Below are 24,014 nucleotides of genomic sequence, written 5' to 3' on the forward strand. Positions count from 1 at the left end.
AAGTTCATTTATTACCGAGCTGAACGTAGAATCTATTGATATTACTAAAATTTGTTATGTAAGGTATTGTTGACATCTGTGTTGTTCTTATATTGCATGTAAATCTTTATAGAACTTTATAGCAGCACGATTTGCAATTGTAACAATGTGGAACCAGCCCAAATGCCCATCAATCAAGAAGTGGGTAAAGAAACTGTGGTATATATATATATGATGGAATACTACTCAGCCATAAAAATGAATGAATTAATGGCATTCACAACAACCTGTGTGAAACTGGAGACTATTATTCTAAGTGAAGTAACTCAGGAATGGAAAACCAAACATCATATTTTCTCACTTATAAGTGGGAGCTAAGCTATGAGGATGCAAAGGCATAACAATGATGCAATGGACTTTGGGGACTCTGGGAAAGGGTGGGAAGCGGGTGAGAGATAAAAGACTACAAACTGGGTTCAGTGTATACTGCTCGGGCGATGGGTGCACCAAAATCTCTCACAAATCACCACTAAAGAACCTACTCATGTAACAAAATACCACCCGTTCCCTAAAAACCTATGGAAATAAAAAAAATATTTAGAAAAATTTTGGTTTTGTCCTAACATGTTTAACTATAACACAATAAAAAATCTGACCTAATTTGGAGATTCTGAAGTAATTTGGAGATTCTTATTTATTTCCATCTCTTCATCTTCTATTTCTTTAGAAGAATGTGCTCTTGTTTGTTTTTTAATTTTCAGTCGAATTAAAAATAAAAATAAAATCATATTTCAGTTCTATGATTTGAGTGCATCTCTTAAAAGTTCATGTGTTGAAAACTTAATTGTCAATTCAACAGTGTTGGGTGGTGGGGCTTAATAAGAGGTGATTGGGTCATGAGGGCAGAACCCTCTTGAATGAATTAATGTCATTAACATGGGAGCAGGTTATTCATTATAAAAGTGGGTTGTTATAAAGTGAGACCAGGATGAACATGGTGGCTCACACCTGTAGTCTCAACACTTGGAAGGCCAAGGCAGGAGGATTGCTTGAACCCAGGAGTTTTAGATCAGCCTGGACAACATGGGGAGACTCTGTCTCTACACAAAGTTAAAAAATTAGTGGGGTGTGGTGGCACATGCCTGTAGTCCCAGCTACTTTAGAGGCTGAAGTGGGATGATGGTTTGAGCCCAGGAGGTAGAGGCTGTAGTGGGCCATGATGCTGCCACTGCCCTCTAGCCTGGACGACAAAGTGAGACCTGTCCTTGCAAAGTAAAAATAAAGAAATAAAATGAGTCCAGCTGCTGGTGCCTCCCTGTACCTTACGCACTTGCTTCTGTCTTTTGTCTTTGACCATGGGATGACCCTTAGCAGACACTATTGTCATGCTCTTAGACATCCCATCCTCCAGAACCATGAGCCAAATAAACATCTATCCTTTATAAATTACCCAGTCTGTGGTATTCTGTTACAGCAGCAGAAGATGGACTAAGGCACCAGTAACTGTTTCTTTTATTTTTTTTTTCTTACAAAAGAAACTTTCTAGTATTTTATGGAAATAAGGCTTGATTATTTTGCCTTGTACTTTCATGTCCTTCTGTTCTCTCTTTTCCCCTTCATCCTTTCTTTACAAGGAAATGTTTAAATTAGAAATGTGGTACCCTTTACCACAGTAAAGTAAAATATAGAAACTTCCATAATCTATTAAAACAGTTGTTCTTGCAATCAAGACAAAGGGGAATTTATTATTTAACTTCAAATATCAAATAAGAAATATGTCTTTTGAAAAGAGTGAAAAGATGATAATCCTTTGTGATTATAGATTTTTTCTTCTCTAATTTTTAATTCATATTACAGTTAAAGATCTCTAAGCTGCTCTTTATCTCCAAACAATTTTTTACTATTAGTGCCTTTTAAATTCTGAGTATAACCAGCATGAAATGTTTTAGTTATTCTAAGTTATAACTGCATTTTAAATCCAAAGTCCTTTTATAAGTTGATAGGAATAATAGTTATCATTTCTCAAATGCTCAATTATGGCATTGAATTCTTTCATATTATTAAATTTAGTAGTAATCGTTGTTTGTATGGATAAGCTATTGTACTCATGTTCAATTTTTTTCCTTCCTACTAGTAGACTATTAAATAAAAGTTAAAATTGTCATATTTACTAATTGTGTAGTTCAATATTGATCATTTGATCACTCACAATACAGAGTTTGTCAATGTTAACTGTAACTGTTACCTTTCTGTGAAATTTATGAGAGACAAGATAAAAATGATACTTTGTAGAAAGCAGAGTACAAGAGGAGGCAGAGTATAAGAGAATGAATCACTGTCAAGGGCAGGTTAGGCATCATTGTAGCAATTAGTATTTAATCTTCTTTGTGACTGTATCAAAATGTCATCTCAGTTTGACCAGCAGTTTGACATTTAATTGCTGGAGAGTTAAAAGCTCAGCCAAGCACATAGTGAGTGGTTAAAGGTGTGTATCTGTATTCCCACTTCCACTGTTTAAATTGAACTCAGCAAAAATTAGTAGTGAAACCTTAGGTAAGTTAGTTAAACATGTTAAGTCTGATTTTCCTAATTTGTAAAAGTCAGTAATAATATTACCTACAGTAGTGGTAGCTGTTGGTATGAAACAAGGTTTCTATACATGTGGTAATTTAATAAGGATGCTATGTAAAAAATGTTAGTGCAATGTTATGCGTAATTTTAATGGCTGGGCGCAGTGGCTTACCCCTGTAAGCCCAGCACTTTGGGAAGCCAAGGCGGGTAGATCACTTGAGGTCGGAGTTTGAGACCAGCCTGACCAACATGGTGAAACCCCATCTCTACTAAAAATACAAAAGTGAGCTGGGCGTGGTGGCAGGTGCCTGTAGTCCTAGCTACTCAGGAGACTAAGGCAGGAGAATCACTTGAACCCAGGAGGTGGAGGTTGCAGTGAGCCAAGATCATGCCCTTGAACTCCAGCCTGGGCAACAGAGCGAGATTCCGCCTCAAAAAAAAATTAATAATAAGAAGAAGAATTATAATGACCATACTAATCTACCACATAGAAAAAACCCATGACATAAATCATTATCCAGGGTTAATATTGTGTCTTAAGTAATGTGGTTATATATATATATATTTCCCTGTGGCAGCATAGAGAATATGTTAAGAGGAAAAAGAACTATAGTAGACAGAGAAAAAGAAGCAAAAAGAGAAAAAGCCTCCATAATTAAAGAAACGATTATCAGCCTTTTTCTTTTTCTTCCCAAGTATGAAAAAATTTTCACAGTAAAAATGGTAAAATTCATTTTTCTATTATAATATTATATAAGAATTTAAGATTTGAGATTAGAGTTTTCTCCAATTGGAAGAAAATGGGCTGGAGAATGCATGTTGAGGTCAAAGCATTTGTGCTTCAAGATACAAACTTGGATTCCAGTCCTAGTTCTTCAACAAACATGTGTGACAATCAATAAGTCACTTCTCGGGAATGCAGGTTACTTATATGTGTAAAGTAAGTTGGAAAGAAGTAGCAGTTTTCAACATGTGCTCTATAAAAGTTGGATTTCTTGGTCAAATAAGTTTGGTAAATGTTGCATTCCATATCTCCCTGTCTGAAATTCTCACAAGGGCCTGAACTCATTAAAGCCCCTAAAAGTCTTGTAGTAAAAACATCTAGCTATTTTTTTTACCGAGGTTTTACAAGTCTATTTAATCATGTTACTCTTTTAATAACAGCCTTGTAGAACTGCTATTCAATGGGCTAAACTTTAGAAAAACTGGACTAGGGAATAGTTGATTTCTTCCATGTTTCCACTCCACTTCATGAACTTTGGTGATAAGGAAAGTGCATATTAACTTTATTAGAAAATCTAATCAATTAACTGTTTTCTTCTGAGTCACCTGGGGGTAATGACTAAGGGAGGGAGAATATTGAGCTATTAATTTCTTCTATATGTCTGTGGCACAAGGGTCACAGAAAGAAAATTAAATTTGGTTTACTAGAGCAAAGTAAAACCAGGTATTTTTATTGTTTGTTCTGTGATACGAGAATAGTTAGAGAAGACCACAAATGCTTGACTGTATCTATATCAGAATAAACAATAATAAACAAGTTCTGAATTTCTAAATCTGTAGTTTATTCTTAATAAAGCTTTTTATTCTTCTTTCATGCAAATAAAATATAGCTAGCATTTGTAGAAAGGTTAATACATAAAAATACAAAAGTAGTTTTTCAGAGAATTGTTGTCACTTATTGGAGCTAGGAAGCACATTTGTTAGAGTAAAATAGGAAACTTTTTTACTTTTACTTGAATAAATCATTCTGTAGGTTTTTCAGTATAATTGGCCCTATGACTTGCCTCAAAGATTATGGTGAATGAAATTATCCATTCATTGATGGTCATGTTTTGAGTATGAGCTTTTATACCCACGGATAAAATAAATCACCCAAGGAATGACCATTCTCCCTGCAGGACTGCAATCCAGTCTTCATTGGACAGAATACGGCTACAGCTCCCTGGGTGGTGGAGAAGTTGCTGAGGTGCTGTGCTGGCAGAACTTGCTAGAAATCTGCCCTCTGGAGTGCTGGGGGATGTGGTTCACAGAAATGTCCCCTACCTCTGGAATCACATGCATGCTAACTGAGGGGGTCTGGGGAAAGAGTTATAGGGGGAAGTAGTTTACTAGAGGCACTTCCTAAAAAGCTATCTGAAGGGTGCCAGAGGAAACTGCTGGTTATTGGGTACTGATAACCAATGTACCCTGTGGGAGCCAAGCACTGAAGAAGCTGTTCCTTGCAGGAGCAAGACTCTGGGATAACATATGCAAAAGAAAGTTGGTGCTGGAAAAATATTTGCTGCAGGAGCCTGGTAAGGGAGCACTAGAATGAAGAGAAGAAAAGCCCTTTCTCCTGCAGTGTCTCTCCAGTGCCCTGTAATGACCAAGCTTAACATCATGCCAGCTGGCAAATGATCTAAAGAGTCCGACTCTATCTTTACAGCAGGAAATGAAGGATGAATTTGGAACTGAAAGGCAATAAATTGATAACGGGCGCACATACTCATTATAATTTTGGCAGGCATAGTTCCTGAATTAAGAGTGTGTATATATGTTTGCATAATTTAAGCTTTATTTTAAAATTTATAGGCAGAATTCTGTAATAGCCCCCAAGGTTCCTATTCCCTGAGTACACACTTTATAGAGTCTCCTCCTGTTGAGAGCAGTGAGAACCTGAAAATATGATTGGATCACACTCTTGTGACTCTTGGGATTATGTTACACATCTTTTGACTTTGAGATGTTTATCAAAAGGGAGATCATCTTGGGTAGGACTAACTTGATCAGGTAGCTGAGTCCTTTGCGCAAAAAAGCAAGACATCAGAGAGCTGCTGTTCAGTTGTTCTAGAAGTTGTCACAGCTCTGTTGCGATGGGACCCATGGAGGAGGTCATCTGGCAGAGTGGTCTCTAGAAGCTGAGACAGATCCCCACCCAAAAACTACCAAAAAATGGGAACTTCAATCATACGCCCTCAAGGAAATTAATTCTGACAATAACCTGTGAGCTTAGAAGAGGACTCCAAGCTCAGATGAGATTGCAGTTCCTGCCATCATCTTGATTGTAACTTTATGAGTCCCTGAGCAAAGAATCCAGGCATGCTGTGCCTGGACTTACACCTGCAGAAAATGTGAGATAATATATCAGTGCTGTTTTTAACTGTGAAGTTTGTGGTAATTTGTTATAAAGCAAAAGTAAAACAAATATAAATAGTATTTTTCTTGCTTTCTCCCTACTGCTCATCTACAAGAAGCATTCCTTGCTATTTCTGCGCTCCTATCTAAGGTCAAATGTTTTTCATTGTCTCTCAACTAATTTCTTATGGCAAATAATTAAAATGTTGCCTAATAAATTTTAAAAATGATAAAACACTTCCCAGAACTAATAGCTACTTGTAAAATATGTCAGTGGTAGAGCTTTGCTAGAGCGTTCCTGATAATGAAATAATAAAAGCTAGCATTTATTGGTAACACACATGGCGTGTGAGACAAATACTTTACCAGGAATTATATATTAGTCATTTTGAATTCTTCCAGTGGATTCTATGAGTTAGACTGCATTTTCATCCTGAAGTTTTACAACATTAAACGGCTTGCCCAAAATACAACAAAGAGTGATTGATTAAGGTATCATATCCAGGATTGCCAGTGTGAATCCCAAATTAATTGCACAATACAAAACTGCCTCAAACTGAAGTGACTGCGGTTTGGATTGACTGATAATAACCAATTCTGATTCTAGCACTAATGTTTACAAAATTTTTTTTGCAGACATTTTACAATAATGCTATGTTTGGAGCCACATGGTAGGAACATATAATGTTAAAAACATGATTCGAAAAAAATATTTTAGTAACTATGGCAGGTACTACTAGTTATCTAGAACATTCATTCTTTCTTCCTCCTAGTTAGATGGATTTGTCTGAGGACGTGATCCCCCATCTACTCTCTACATTTCCTTAATGATGCTACTAGTAAAATTAAAGCCAAGCAATTAAACCCTACCTAATGATATGTCAGCAGAAGTGATGCAAATGAATTCATAATCACATTCTTAAAAAAAAGCAACTTGTAACTTTCCATCAACTCTCTCTCTCTTTTTAACTACTTCAGGTAATTAAATGTATGGACATAATGGTGGGTGAGGGCCAATTTTTCCAGAATTAACTTTAAGATGTTTTCCCCTATTTCCTTCAAGATCCAGTGCATGATATTTATTAGGTATAGCCTGAGACAAGAACAAATTACAAAACTAAACAGATGGAGCATATTCTATTCAGTGCATTGTGGAGTTATGGGAAAGTTAGACATTGAGAGACCTGGGCAGTCAAATGGATGCATCCTGAAGGAGAATGGGAATTTAAAATGTGTGTGTTTTCTACTCTTCTATCATAAAAATAAGTATTTTAAAGTTTTTCCACCAACAGTAAAGCAGGACTAATACATGAACTTTGTACTGTTCATAAATGTAATTATCTGAAAAAACATAGGCAACAGTTTCTTGATATTTTTATTTTTTATATGAAACAGGAATTTTACAAAAAGGGATAATAACCATTTGCTATGTGGTAAGGTTTGGGGGTGAAGGACAAAATATTTTGAAACTCTGTGAAAGGTAAGGGAATCAGAGCAGAGCTTCCCACAGCAGAGTTAGGGGCACAGTCTCTGCTTCATTGTGCTAGAATTACACAATCTTTCAAGACTCCAGAGTCTGCTCTGTCTTCCTTCTGTTCAGTGAGACAGCCCTTCCTTCCCAGCATTCACTGCTCACTTTAGATGAGTAAAAGTAGATCAAAGCAAGAGAGAGAATAAAAAGTTTGTCACAAAATGATTTTAGAGCCAGTTGTATCTGGGTCAGAATCACATATGGGGAGCCCAGAAAGAAGATTGTTAGACCATGTATAAGGCCAACTAGTATGTATTTTATATATTCTTAAAATTTAACATGCATTAACCTTCCTCTCATGGGTTCCTTTTAACCTTAGTAATGAAAAAATGTGTGAAATTATGAAGACAAAATTATATGACACAAGAAGCCTTAGAGCTTATATAATCCTGCCCTCCCATTTGACTTTTATTTTATAGATGAGAGAACTGAATCCCAGGAAGGTTAAGTGGCTTAACCTTAATTCACACAAATATTTATTTATATAGCAAGATCCAATATTAAGAACAAAAGCAGTTTTTTTCCTGCTTCTTCACCCAATATATGGTCTTTGATTCATTGGACAGATAATAAACTTTAATGAACGTTATTTTTATAATATTATCTTTTAAATGTCATTTTCAATACCACGGCATTTCCAGGTATTGTTAACAAAAGGAAAAAAGTGGTAGTTAGAAACATAACACATCATTTATCATATTCCCCTAGCTCCACACGTTTTGGCAGTTAACATTTCTGTATTTGTGTTCTTAGCTACCCTTACACGTTTTGAGGGATAAATCTTAAAACCCTCATATAAAGAATTAGAAAGAGCGACTATGTGAACAAAAATAAAACCAGGAAATATGACTTTTTCTTTTACGTATAGAAGATCATATGAGACTCTTCTGTGACATGTATTCATAAAAGTTGTACATTCTCTGCAATGGAGTTACCTTTGGGCTTTGTCAAATCTTGTTGCATAACAGTCATATATGGAAGGGGTGGATTACAAGGATATAAAAGATTAGTCAGAATGTTATTAATCTACTCCTGGGTGAATTATTTCATGCAGCATAGCTATCAATAAATCCAGAAGTCTTCAGATAAGTTTTAAATGGGCTCTACTGTGCAAAGGAGTGGGGTAAGCACACACAGAAGTCAGTTGCCTTAATGCTATCATATTTAAACAGGCTTCAGTGCTCAACATGCCAACATGCTTGGAAATTCTTCAATACCATGACCTCTAAAAGCCCAGCTAATTTAGTGAAAAGAGAAACAAGGGTAAGTTATTTTTGAGAGAGTTTACTACCTCCTTTGCTTGTTAGTTGCTTGTTCAATTCCCACCTACTCACCATTGTGGACTGAATGTATCCCCTCAAAATTTGTATGTTGAAGACCTAATCTCCAATATAATAGTATTTAGAGACGGGACCTATGGGAGGTTAGATGAGGGTGGAGCCCTTATTGAAACCATCCCTCTAAACTTTATAAAATTAATCAGAGAAGGGAGGGGACAAAATGAAAATAAACCAAGCCTGAGCATATGTAGCATTAATCATTACATCAACTTTCTCTCTGACCTGCTTTCTCATAGTGTTTGCCTGTTGTCTTAGAATCATATAGACCATAGATTATAGTTCTCCTTAACTGCTCTATTGATGAAAACTTGAACATTATAAAATGTTAATTTTTCCCGTTGAAATATTCTTTTAGGTCCTGCATACCAATGAAACTGCTGACATCAGCTGATCTGAATGACCCAACAAAAAGCTTACATACACAAAGAATGCAGTTTTCACATCCTAATCATTTCATTCTCCTTACCCTGACCAATCAATGATCCCAATTTGCCAGTCCCATACCCTCCACAATTTTCTTAAAAACCCCAGATCAGTATATTCCTTGGGGAGATGGATTTTGGTGTTTTCTGCCATCTCCTTGCTTGGCTGTCCTGTGATCTTTAAACACTTTTTCTGCTGCAACCCTGCTGTCTCAGTGTACGGATATGTTACTGTGCAGAGGGCATATGAAGCTGTTGGTCCTATAATATTATGATGGCATTAGTGGCCTTATAAGAATTAGAAGAGAAGCCAGGCACATTCGCACGCACCTGTAGTCCCAGCTACTCAGGAGGCTGAGGCAGGAGGATTGCTTGAGCCCAGGAGTTTAAGGCTGCAGTGTGCTTTGATCATTTCTTTGAGTAGCCACTGTACTCTAGCCTGAGCAACATAGCAAGATCCCATCTCTATCAAAGCAGGAATTGGAAGAGAGAGAGAGATATAAATTTTTTCTCTGCCTATGCACACTCATAGGAAAAGTCATGTGAGGACATAGCAAGAAGGCAGCTACCTGAAATCAAGGAAGAGAGTGCTCACAAGAATCCAATCATGCTGGCAGCCTGATCTTGACACTGTAGACTCAAGAACAGTAAAGAAAATAAATATTTCTGTTATTGAAGCCACTTGGTTTATGGTGTTTTATTATGGCAGCCCAAGCTGACTAAGACATTCACTATAAAAGGACAATTATGTATTGGACAGTATCATTAATATAGATGTATAAGGAAGAATTGGGCAATGAATACATTAATGACAGGACATAAGAATGATGATGAGACATTTGAATAAGAAAGATAATATTACTTGCAGGACAGAAGAAAAAAACAGAGCCAGAAAGAAACGTGAAACATAGGTGAGAATGAACCTCTTCTTGGTGATAAAAATGGGTAATATAAATAATTTGAAGAGGTGTTTATATCTATTTAGATGATATTGAAAGTGACAGAGATACTGATGGATGTTTTGCTGTGCATAAAGAATATATGTGTCTTCTTTTGAGAACTGTAAGTAGTATTTTAAAATTCAATAAATTTAATGAAACAACCATGATGCAAAGATTGAGCCAAGTGGAATCCCTATTATATTTGGGTTGTAATATGCTTTCATTTAACTCTTGAAATAATGTTATGAAATGTATTTAGTCATTGTATTTTTTTGTTAAGAAAATTAGACCTCAGGGAGATTAGGCAGATTTTCAAGATTCCATAGCTTATAAGAAGTGGAATAGAGATTATAACCCATGTCTAACTAATTTCGAAGTCGATAGTCTTCATTACATTACACTACACAGAAAATTTTCAACATGGAAAGAAACTGAAATATATGAAGACAGCCTAATGAGATTACAAAGACAGCCTAATGAAATTACAAAGGCAATTGCAAAGGATAGTCATCCTTTCTCATATATTCAGTACTACTGTGGGTCAGCTTTTTCTTTTACTGAGATGATGAACTTGGAGTCTGTCCAGATTGTAAGAGAACTTAAAGCTCACTAAGTTTATCTATTATCTGAACTTTACATTGTCATGGACTGAAACTAACAGTGCAGATAGAAGGTATGGTATCATTGTTGTGGTGTATTAAAAGTAGACCAGATAGAGAATGAAAGAGCCTAAAATCTGGTATTATTACAGTTTGTACGTATAACATTTAAATGGTATTTAGCTTTTGTAAGCCTCAATTTCCTAGGGCATTCAAATCAGTTTTCTCTAATATTTCATTATGTTCTCATTATTTCATTGCTTCTGTAATTCTAAAGTGGAAACTGATTTTTGTGGCACATATACACCCTTAATATTTTGATATTTATCTATCAGTCTAATATTTATATTAGATCTGAAATTATCAAGTTGCATAAGTGAAAGCCCTATCAGTAATGATGCCTGGGCCCAAAACATTTAAAAATGGATCTGGAGGCAGCTTCAGTTAATGTTAAAGTGAGGTAGTTAGGATAATCTCTTCTCAGTAGATAGTAATATGGAATAAAAACAAAACATATGTGTGTATATAACCTAAATATTATAGATATGTTTATATATGTATATGCACATGTGTTCGTGTTTTATTATTATTTTTAAAAACAGTGTAAAGTAACCAAAACCAGGGAGAAATTGGAGATAAGTTTACCCTTGAAAGACTCAATTGAAACAGATCAAAACTGAGATCTTTTGGCTTTCTTTCCAGAGGTTGATCTCCAATCACCTCAGCTAAGGCAATAGAAAATTACATCCTTTGGAGCTGGAGGTGGCACAGTGCAGAGTTGAGGGCTGGCAGGATAAATGACAATTTAGGGGAAATTTCAGGAAGTGAGAGACCAACAAATGAGGTGAGAACTAAAATATGAGTATAATCTCTGCCCATATCCCCTGACTTCCCCTAAAACTTTCTATGTAGATGGGAATCCAAAGCCTGGTGAACAAAAGGGACACAATTCAGAGAGGAATCTACCCTTGAAAGACAGAACTCGCAAGTGCACTGCCTGAGTGACAGTGCAAGGCTCAACCATATATACCTCGGGTGACAGAAAGCTGAAGACTTAGTGGCCTGACATGGCAGAAGACAGAGTTCAGGACTACCAGAGCAGTTAGAAATTTAGTGGAGATTCCAGTAACAAAGGAATTACACAGCAAGTAAGCTCCTACATCTGTATATAAACTTTCCTCAAATCTTTGACTGATCCACACAGGTTCAAGCAAATTCTAACATGTATAAGGAAGTATAAAGGGCCTAGAATAGAAAATGAAATTTTGAAAAAGTAATAAAGTTGTAGCACTTATGCTACTGATTTTATGACTTATTCTTGAGTAAGAAAGACAGTGTACTAATGGCATAAATATAGACATATTATCAATAGAACAGAAAGGAGAGTCTGGAAATATGTGGTCAATTAACTTTGACAAAGGCTTGAAGGTAAACAATAGAGAAACAACTGTCTTTTCAACAGATAGTATTAAAACAATTATATTTCCATTTAGAAAAATAGATCTTTACCTGTACCTCACACCATGCACAAATATTAACTTAAAATGGATCATAGCTTTAAATGTAAAAGCTATGACAATAAAACAGAGAAAATGTTTGCCACTTTGGGGTAAGACAAAATTTTAAGGGCATAAAAAGCACAAATAATGAGAGAAATAAGTTGAATTCCATACAAATTGAAAAGGTAAGCCACACATTGAGATAAAATATTTAAAATACATATGTCTGACTAAATAATGCAAAATACCTATAAAATTTAAGATAACAAACCACCCCATTGGAAAGATGGACAAATGATTTGAACACTATAGAAGAACAAGGCAGGATGCAGTGGCTCACATCCCAGAGGACTGGGAGGCTAAGAAGGGAGGATCGCTTGAGGCCAGGTGTTTAGGAACAGCCTAGGCAACATAATGAGATCCCATCTCTACAAAAAATGTTAAAAATAATTAACAGGTGTGGAGGCTGGTGCCTGTGGTCCTAGCTACTTGGGAGGCTGAGGTGGGAGGATCACTAGAGCCCAGGGATTAGAGGTTACAGTGTACTATGATAGTGCCACTGCACTCCAGCCTGGGTAACAGAGAGAGACTCTGGCTCAAATGAAAGAAAAAAAGCACCACATATTTTTATGGCAAAAAATCACATGGAAACATTATTAGTCATCAGGAAGATTTTAAATAAAATCACAATGAAATATGACTGTGTACCGACTTGAATGGCTAAAATTGAAAAGCCTGACCGTATCAAGTATCAACCAGAATATAAAGCCACTGGAATGTTCAGACATTTCTGGTAAGAATGTAAACTGCTACACTTTGAAAACAAGTTGGGTGGTATCTCATAAAGTTAAACACGCACTAACTGTAAGATCTAGTGGTTACACTTCTAGTTATGTATGGAGAAAAATCAAAACTTATGTCACAAAAAGACTTGTACAGGAGTACTCTGAGCAGCTTTATTCACATTAGACCAAAACTGGAAATTCAAATATCCAATCAAATATCCAACAGGTGAGTAAATAAAGACAAACTAGTGTGTGTGTGTGTATACATATATATATATATGCAATATAATGCCATTGAGGAATAGAAATAGATACACTACTAATGTCTTCAACAACATGAATTAATCTCTGAGATATTATGTTGAATTAAAAATCCAGATATTGCCTGGTATCTTGATGTAATATTCTGAAAAAGACAAGCAAACACATAATGATAGTGAAGTGCTCAGAGGATACCTAGGGGGAGAAGGAGGTAGAAATTTATTGCAAAGGGGCAGAAGAGGGACTTCTGGATTTACAGAACTATTCTCTAACTTGAGTTTGGTCATGGTTGCCTGAGTGTATATATTTGCTAAAACTTATTAAACTAAACAATATGTGCATTTTATTATATACAATGTATATCTCAATAAAGTTGATTAAAAAGATAGATGATTAAATGCAAACTATAAAAGAAGACGAAATATAAATTTTATTTTATTATAACTATTACCATTATTATTTTACTATCCTAAGCTTTTTTTCTTGGCAAGAAATACCTGGTAAGATTGTATTTTTTTGTTTTATTTGTTGCTTTTAGGTAATGGTAAGATTTGATGTACATTTAAAAAGCACATTGAATATATCAAATTACAAAATAAACCTTTTTTTCAACTTTTACTTTAGATTCAGTGGGTACACAGGCAGATTTGTTATCTGGGTATACAGCATGATGCAAAGATTTGAGGTATGATCCCATCATCCAGTTACTGAGGGTAGTATCCAGCAGTTAGTTTTTTCAGTCTTTGCTCCTATCCCTCCCTTTCCCCTCTACTAGTCCGCAGTTTCTATTGTTCCCATCTGTATGACGCTGAGTACCTAATGTTTAGCTCTCACTTATAAGTGAGAACATGTGGTATTTGGGTTTCTGTTCCTGCATTAATTTACTTAGGATAATGACCTCCAACTGCATCCATGTTGCTGCAAAGGACATAATTTCATTCTATTTTATGGCTGCATAGTAGTCTATGGTGTATATGTACCACATTTTCTTTATCTAGTCCACCATTGATGGGCACCTGAATTGATTCCATGTGTTCGCTACTGTGAATAGTGCTGCATTGAGCATGTGAGTGCATGTGTCTTTTCAATAGAACAATTTATTTTCTTTTGGATATATACCCAGTAATAGGATTATTGGGTAAATGATAGTTCTAAGTTCTTTGAGAAAGAACATAAAAAACTTAAGCTTTTCACAGTAACTGAACTGATTTATATTCCTATCAGTAGTGTATAAGCACTCCCTTTTCTCTGCTACCTAACTACCATCTGTTATTTTTTGACTTTTTAGCAATAACCATTCTGACTCGTGTGAGATGGTTTCTTATTGTGGTTTTGATTTGCAGTTCTCTGATAATGAGGGATGTTGAGCGTTTTTTCATAAGCTTGTTGGCTGCTTCTATGTCTTCTTTTGAGAACTATCTGTTCATGTCTTTTGCCTATTTTTAATGGAATTATACATTTTTTGCTTGTTAAATTCCTTATATATTCTGGATATTAGACATTTGTCAGATACATAGTTTGCAAATATTGTCTCCTATTTTGTAGGTTGCCTGATTACTCTCTTGATAGTTTCTTTTGTTGTGCAGAAGTTCTTTAGTTTAATTAGATCCCACTTGTCAATTTTTGTTTTTGTTGCAATTGCTTTTGAGTACTTAGCCAAAATTTCTTTGCCAAGGCTGATGTCCAGAATGGTGTTTCCTAGATTTTCTTCTAGAATTCTTATCCATTTAGGTCTTATATTTAAATCTTTAGTCCATCTTGAGTTAATATTTGTACATAATGACAGAGAAGAGTCCAGTTTTTTCTTCTGCATATGCCTGGCCCACTATTCCAGCACCGTTTTTGAATAAATATTTCTTTCCCCATTCCTTACTTTTGTTGACTTTGTTGAAGATCAGATGGCTGGAGGAATGTGGCTTTATTTCTGGTTTCTCTATTCAGTTTCATTGGTCTTGTTCTTGTACCAGTACCATGCTGTTTTGGTTACTGTGGCCTTATAGTGTAGTTTGAAGTCAGGTAATTTGATGCCTCCAGCTTTGTTCTTTTTGCTTAGGATTGCTTTGGTTATTCAGGCTCTTCTTTGGTTCCATATGAATTTTAGAATAGTTTTTTTCTAGTTCTGAGAAAATGACATTGATAATTTGATAGGAATACTGTTGAATCTGTAGATGGCTTTGGGAAGTATGGCCATTTTAACATATTGATTTTTCCAATTCATAAGCATGGACCATTTTTTCACTTGTTTGTGTCATTTATAATTTATTTCAAGAGTGTTTTATAGTTTTCCTTGTAGTGATCTTTCACCTCCTTGGTTATAAATGGGATTGCATTCTTGATATGGCTGTAAGCTTGAATGTTATTAGTGTATAGAAATGACACTGGTATTTGTACACTGATTTTGTATCCCAAAACTTTACTGAAGTCATTTATCAGTTCTGGGAGTCTTTGGCAGTCTTTAAAAGGGTTTTCAAGGTACAGAAACATATTATCTACATAGAAAGATAGTTTGACTTCTTCTTTTTCTATTTGGATGCATTTTATTTCTTTCTCTTGCCTGATTGCCGGGCTAGCACTTCCAGTACTATGTTGAATAGGAGTGGTGAGAGTGGTCATCCGTGTCTAGTTCTTGTCCCTGTTCCAGTTCTTAAGGGAATGCTTCAGGCTTTTGTCCATTCAATATGATGTTGGCCTTGGGGTTGCCATAGGTGACTCTTATTTTGTGAGCTATGTTCCTCTGATGCCTACTTTCTTGAGGACTTTTTTTTTCTTTTTTTTGGAGATGGAGTCTCCCTCTGTAGCCCAGGCTGGAGTGCAGGGGCATGATCTCAACTCACTGAAACCTCCACCTTCCGGGTCCCAGTTCAAGCAATTCTCCTGCCTCAGCCTCCTGAGTAGCCAGGAATACAGGCACCCACCACGATGCCCAGCTAATTTTTGTATTTTTAGTAGAGACAGGGTTTCACCATGTTGGCCAGGCTGGTCTTGAACTCCTGACCTCGTGATCTGCCTGCTTCGGCCTCCCAAAATGTTGGGATTACAGGCTTGAGCCACCGTGCCCAGGCTCTTCGGGATTTTTATCATGAAAGGATGTTTAATTTCATTGAAAGCTTTTTCATTAAAAGCTTTATTTCAATAAGCTTTTTAATTCAAAAAGCTTTTTTTTTTCAGTAAAAGCTTCTAATAAGATGATCACATGGCTCTTGTTTTTAATTCTGTTTATGTGGTGAATCATGTTTATTTATGTGTGTATGTTGAACCAACCTTATATCCCAGGAATGAAGCCTGCTTGCTCACGATGAACTAGCTTTTTGATATGCTGTTGGATTCAGTTTGCTAGTATTTTGTTGAGGATTTTTGCTTCTATGTTTATCAGGGGTGTTGGCCTGTAGTTTTTTTTCACTGTGTCTTTGCCAGGTTTTCGTATCAGGATGTTGCTGGCTTTGTAGAATGAGTTAGGGAGGAGTCCCTCCTCGTCAATTCTTTTTGGAATATTTCGGTAGTATTGGTACCAGCTCTTCTTTGCACATCTGGTAAAATTTGGCTGTGAATCCCTCTTGTCCAGGGCTTTTTTAAATAGGAAGTTTTTAAAATTACTGCTTCAACCTCAAAACTCGTATTGGTCTGTTCAAGGTTTTGGTCTGTTTAGGGTTTTAATTTATTCCTGATTCAATCTTTGAAGATTGTGTGTTTCCAGAAATTTATCTGTTTCCTGTAGAATTTCTAGTTCTTGTACATAGAAGTGTTCATAGTAGTCTCTGAGGAGCTTTTGTATTTCTGTAGGATTGTTTGCGATGTCATCTTTTTCACTTCTGATTATGCCTATTTGAATCTTCTCTTGTTTTCTTTGTTAATCTAGCTAGCAGTCTATCAATCTTGTTTATCCTTTTAATGAACCAACATTTACTTTTGTTGATTCTTTGTATGCAGTTTTGTGTCTCAATTTCATGCAGCTCTGCTCTGACTTTCTTTTCTTCTGCTAGCTTGGGGGATACTTTGTTTTTTGGGTTTTTTTCGTTTGTTTGTTTGTTTAGTTCCTACAGGTTTGATGTTAGATTTTTTTTTTCTTTTTTAAGACAGAGTCTTGCACTGTCACCCAGGCTGGAGTGCAGTGGCGTGATCTCGGCTCACTGCAACCTCCGCCTCCCAGGTTCAAGCGATTCTCCTGCCTCAGCCTCCCGAATAGCTGGGATAACAGGCACCCGCCACCACACCTGGCTAATTTTTTGTATTTTTAGTAGAGACAGGGCTTTACTATGTTGGATAGGCTGGTGTTGAATGCCTGAACTTGTGATCCCCCCCACCTCGGCCTCTCAAAGTGCTGAGATTACAGGCTTGAGCCACTGTGCCCAGTCAAGATTGTTAATTTGAGACCTTTCTAACTTTTGCAGGTAGGCATTTGGTGCTATAACTGTTTCTCTTAACACTATTTTTTGCTGCATCCCAGAGATTTTGGCATCTTATGTTTCTGTTTTCATTTATTTCAATAATTTTTTTGATTTCTGCTTTAATTTCTTGTTTTAATCAAAAGTCATTCAGGAGAAAGTTGTTTAATTTCCATGTAATTGTGCGGTTTTGAGAGATCATCTTGCTAGTGATTACAATTTTTATTCCACTGTGGTCTGAGAGTATGATTGGTATCATTTTGATTTTTTTATATTTATTGAGATTTGTTTTACGGCCAAAGGTGTGTTCAATATTAGAGTGCGTTTCACGTAGAGATGGGCAGAGTGTGTATTCTGTGGTTGATGGATGGAGTACTGTGTGGATTTCTATTAGGTCCAGTTGGCCAAGTGTCAAATTTAAGCCCAGAATATCTTTGTTAGTTTTCTGCCTTGATGATCTGTCTAATGTTGTCAACTGAGTGTTGAAGTCCCCCACTATTTTTGTGTGGTTTCCTAAGTCATTTTATAGGTTAAGAAGTACTTGGCTTATGAGTCTGGGTGTTCAAATGTTGAATGCATGTAGATTTTGAATAGTTAAGTTTTCTTATTGAATCGAACCCTTTGTCATTATGTAATGCTTATCTTTGCCATTTTTTAATTGGTTTAAAGTCTACTTTATCTGAAATAACAGTAGTAACCCTTCCTCTTTTTACTTTTCTGTTTGCATGGTAGATCTTTCTCCAACCCTTGACTTTGAGCGTATGCATATCATTATGTGTGAGATGGGTCTCTTGAAGACAGAAGTCTTGTTTTCTATCCAACTTGCCAGTCTGTCTTTTAAGTGCGGTATTCAGAGTATTACATTCAAGGTTAATATTGCTCTGTGAGATTTTGATTCTATTGTAAAGTTGTTAGCTGGTTGCTTTGTAATTTCTATTGTGTGGTTGCTTTATAGAGTCTGTGAGCTATGTACTTAAGGGTGTTTTTTAGTAGTAGGTATACATCTTTTATTTCTATGTTTAGAACCATCTCTTATAAGGTTGGTATACAGGTAATGAATTCCCTCAGCACTTGATTCTTTAAAAAATATTTTACTTCTCTTTTGTTTATGAAGCTTAGTTTAGTGGAAGATGAACTTCTTGGCTGGAATTTCTTGGCTTTAAAAATGCTAAAAAAATAGATCCCTAGTCTGTCCAGGTTTGTAGGTTTTTGTTGAAATGTTCACTGTTACCTTGATGGGATTTCCTTTGTATGTGGTCTGACCTTTTTCTCTAGCTGCCTTTGTGATTTTTTTCTTAAGCATTGGACTTGAACAGTCTCATGACTATCTGCCTTGGTGGTGTTTACTTTGTAGATGGTCTCTGGATTTCTTGTATCAGGATGTCAACATCTCTAGCAAGATTAGAGAGATTTTTCTTGAATTATTCTTCAAATATGTTTCCCAGGTTATTTGCTTTTTCTCCTTCTCTTTCAGGAATGCTATAATAATTCATAAATTTGATCACTTTACATAATGTCATGTTTCTCAAAGATTGTTCATCTAAAATTTTTTTTTTCTTTCTTTTTGTCTGTTTTAATTTCAAAGGCCATTCTTTAAGCTTTGAAATTCTTTCTGATGCTTCATCCAGTCTATTGTTAAAGCTTTCAATTGTATTTTGAAATTTCTTAAGTGACTTTTTCAATTCCAGAAGCTCTGATTAATTTTTTTAGGATGTTTATCTCTTCCTTTATTTCCTGGATTGCTTTGAAGTTTCCTTGTGTTGATTTTCAATCTTGTCGTGGATCTCATTGAGCTTCCTTGCAATCCATGCTTTAAATTCTTTATCTGTCATTTCTGAGTTCCCATTTTAGTTAGCATTGCTGGAGAGCTAGTGTGATCCTTTGATGGTGTCACTACCTTCAGAGTTTTCACAGTTCCAGAATTCTTCCACTGGACAGAATTCTTGTGCTGATTTTTTCTCATCTGTAGATGCTGGCACCTTTAATTTTTGTATTTATTTTCTTGCAGGTAGGAGTTTTTCTTTTTCTTTCTTTCTTTCTCTATAATATTATTTTTTTTCTTTCCCTTTCCCTTTCATCCTTTCCTAGGGGATGTGACTATGGAGAATAATGGGTGAGATCTTTTAGTTTTGTTTCTATGTAGCCCTATGCACTTCTGTTTTTTGTTTGTTTTTTATTTTTTAAAATTTCTTCTGAAAAAATGGGATACACATGCAGAATGTGCAGGTTTGTTACACAGGTATATGTGTGCCATGGTGGTTTGCTGCACCTACTGAACCATCCTCCAAGTTTCCTCCTCTCACCCCCCACCCCATACAGGCCCTGGTGTGTGTTGTTTCCCTCTCTGTCTCCATGTCTTCTCATTGTTCAACTCTCACTTGTGAGTGAGAACAGGTGGTGTTTTGTTTTCTGCTCCAGTGTTAGATTGCTGAGGATGATGGCTTCCAACTTCATCCCTGTCCCTGCAAAGGACATTATCTGATTCCTTTATATGGCTACATAGTATTCCATGGTGTATATGTACTATATTTTCTTTATCCGGTCTATCATTGATGGGCATTTGGGTTGGTTCTATGTCTTTGCTGGTATAAATAGTCCTGCAATAAACATACATGTCTATGTGTCTTTATAGTAGAATGATTTATATTCCTTTGGATATATACCCAGTAATGAGATTGCTGGGTCAAATGGTATTTCTGATTTTAGATCCTTGAGGAATTGCCATACTGTCTTCCGCAATGGTTGAACTAATTTACATTCCCACCAACAGTGTAAAAGTGTTCCTATTTCTCCACACGCTTGCCAGCATCTATTGTTTCCTGACTTTTTAATAATCACCATTATGACTGGCATGAGATGATATCTCATTGTGGTTTTGATGTGCATTTCTCTGATGATTAGTGATGTTGAGCTCTCCTTCATATGTTTGTTGGATGCATAAATGAATGAACTCCCATTCACAATTGCTACAAAGAAAATAAAATACCTAGGAAAACAGCTAACAAGGGATGTGAAGGACCAAGAAGAACTACAAACCACTGCTCAAGGAAATAAGAGAGAGCACAAACAAATAGAAAAAACATTTTATCCTCATGGATAGGAAGAATCAATATAATGAAAATGGCCATACTGCCCAAAGTAATTTACAGATTAAATGCTATTCACATCAAACTACCATTGACATTCTTCACAGACTTAGAAAAATCTATTTTAAATTTCAAATGGAATCAAAGAAGATCCCATATAGCCAAGACAATCCTAAGCAAAAAGAACAAAGCTGGAGGCATCACGCTACCTGACTCTAAACTATACTACAAGCCTACAGTAACCAAAACAGCATGGTACTGGTAGCAAAACAGATGTATAGACCAATGGAGTGAAACAGAGACCTCAGAAATAACATCTACAACCATCGATCTTCGACAAACCTGAAGAAGACAAGCAATGGGGAAAGGATCTCCTATTCAGCAAATGGTGCTGGGAAAACTGGCTAGCCATATGCAGAAAACTGAACCTGGACCCCTTCCTTACACCTTAGACAAAAATTAACTCAAGATGAATTAAAGACTTAAATGTAAAACCCAAAACCATAAAAACCCTAGAAGAAAACCTAGGCAATACCATTCAGAACACAGGCATGGACAAAGACTTCAGGACGAAAACACCGAAAGCAATTGCAACAAAAGCCAAAGTTGCCAAATGGGACCTAATTAAACTAAAGAGCTTCTGCACAGCAAGAGAAACTATCATCTGAGTGAACAGGCAACCTAAAGAATAGGAGACAAATTTTGCAATCTACCCATCTGACAAAGGCCTAATATCCAGAATTTACAAGGAGCTTAAACAAATTTACTAGAAAAAAAAATTACATCAGGAAGTGGGCAGAGGATATGAACAGACACTTCTCAAAAGCCCTATGCCCTCTGACTGTAGTTTTTATATTGGGCTGTGCAGTTTGACCTACAAGCCCGTAGATGGTTCTTACAGGTAAAAGCCAGCAGTGGCCAATATGGCTGGGTTTGTACTTGAATTTTTTCACTGGGAGAAACTCTTTGTTGCCTCAAGCGATGGGGTTGATTCGTGGCATGCACAGTGGTCTGAGTTCTCTGCACAGCCCCAGTGAGGCAGAGGCCAAGATGGGCTGGACCAGACCAGTCAAGCCTGCCTCCAAATCCCTCAATGGCAGGCACAAGCACCAGCAGCAAGGGAGAATTCAGTGGGTGGCCACCAAGTGACCACAGGCGTGCCTAGGAATGGATCTGGGAAATCTCTATGGCCCTGAATTCTCTGAACAAGAATGGTGGGTGGCATAAACTCCTAATCCAGTAGTGTGAGTATTCCAGATGACTGAAGATCTTCCTGAGCACAGAATGGAAAGGACCCTGCTGGACCTTGATCTATGTTAATAAAGAGTGGGGCACCTCAGGCTGCAACAAGCAGGTGCTCCAAATGCCTGGATTCCTCTCTGGTGATGGAGCAGAGAGAGCGCTGCACCACGATCTCAGGGGAGCAGGCTGGGGCATCCAGCAGTAGTATACCCAGACCATTTCTAAGTTTCCAGGCTGGCCCTGGCTGCAAGTCTCACCAGCCAGGAGAAACTGGAGCTGTAGCAACTCTCCTTCCACCCCAGGCCTGTGGCGAGACAGAACAGGATTATAGTGCCTACTGGCTGTGGAATCCCCTCTCCCACTCCAGAGCAGGTGTTTTGGTCTCTGGTCTGAGACTAAAATGTCTGTCTGGCCATGATGCTGGGTCACCAAAGAATGGCTGAGTTTGTGTGCACCTAAATGAAAAATGGCATCCTGCCCTTGGTCCTGGGTTTGGGAAAATGTCTGCAAGTTTTCCTGGTGTCTTTTTCTCATTGCATCTCCAATCCCCTCCCCAAGTTAGTTCCAGGACTTAGGAAAAACAAAATGTTTTCCCTCTTCCTGGGTTGCTTGGATCCCTAGTGAAAAGATGAGTCATAGAGGGAGGCTCTCTCTCTGACATTCTGGGACTTCGCTCCTTTTATTAGCTGGATACTGTCACAGGAGCTGTTTGCTGGCATTTTCCCTGTGTTCTGGGGTGTCCCTCATGATCCCAGTGGATTCCCACTGTCATTCTTGAATTAAAGCTCACAGAGTTGATCTTTATGCACTATTTTGCTCTTTCCAAGTGGCTAAGGCATGGTGAAAGCCTTTAATCTTCCATCTTGGAAAAAAAATACCATAAAAGAAACTTCTGTTGTAATTTATTGTGCAGGAAAAGAATGTATAGTGCGAGAATTCAGTTTAAAAATTCATATATAAATACAGATGTTAACGTAGATATATAAAATGTATGACGTATTCATTGTTTTACTCGGAATATGGTTAAATAATGGAGAGCGGAATTGAAAGTTACATACCATGCCACAGTGCTCCAAGGGTTATCTAAGAAGTTCTTCATTTTAACACTCAATTAACTCTCACAGCACTCCTGGCAGAAATTATGAACTCAATTTAAGGAAAAATGGAAGGGAAAGATAAATGAACTTTCTAGCTGCCCGAGGCTTTACCAGTCTCTGTCAAATCTTGGATTACTTAATTTTGCTGGCACCTCTTGGCTTAGTGCTAGTTGCAAAAGCATTAAGGGTAATCATCAAATAATTTGAAGGAGTAACTAATGATTGCCTATATTTGAGGAGCAGATTCTCCTATTTAAAAAAGAAATACTTCAATTCGTTATACTTCCAGGAACCTCAGTTTCATTTATAAAGTACTATTCTGATCAGAAAAAGAGATCTTTTTAAAATAACTGACAATAGAATATCTGGGAATGTTTGAAGAAGTGAATATAGATCACTAGCCTCAAAGAAAAACTTTACGGGGTGCTTCCAATTATTTTTGGGCTCTTGCAGAATTTAGAGAACAAGAGATGCACTCAAAATTATAGGTTGATGTTGAAGAACATTGATGGAGTGGAGTGACTGTTTGCCTATTAGCTTACTCCTTACACTTAGAGACCAATTAAGAACCAAGACCACTGGATTCTATCCGTTGGCAGTAACATCAGAGAAACATGTTCGGAGAAGATGTGATAATTGTCTCTATTTAGTACAAAGGATCGGTTGTTTCACTGATCTCTCGCAGTAATGCCGACAGTTACAGCCTTGCCTATACTGTCCATTTCTGGAACACATACATAAAAAACAATCTGAGCTAACTAAGTTCATTTAAGTGTTACTGACAACAGGTTCTTGACTCTCATTTAACAGAAATTGACAGGGGGCTGAATAAGTTTCCCAGCCAAAGCTTTTATTATGTGATTATATTCAAACACAAAGGGGGCAGCACGAGAGAGAAAATTATCTGGCTGGCTCTCCAAAGAGCATCAGCAGAGTAATTTTAAAGGGGATAAGAGAATGATGTTTAAGCATCTAGAGATGGGGAACTTCTGGTACTCACACAGTTGGATAACATCCTTCTTCATACTTCTTCATGTGTCCCATGTCTCATTAGTGTGTTAAATCTCCACCCCTGGGTGTAATTTTTAGTATTATAATGAAGCTAAGGTAAAGGATTGGTCATTCTTCTGGTCTGTATACATACAGGAGACAGTATTAATGT

The sequence above is a fragment of the Homo sapiens genome, chromosome 10 (genome assembly GCF_000001405.40).
Source record: "Homo sapiens chromosome 10, GRCh38.p14 Primary Assembly".
NCBI classification, from domain to species: domain Eukaryota; kingdom Metazoa; phylum Chordata; class Mammalia; order Primates; family Hominidae; genus Homo; species Homo sapiens.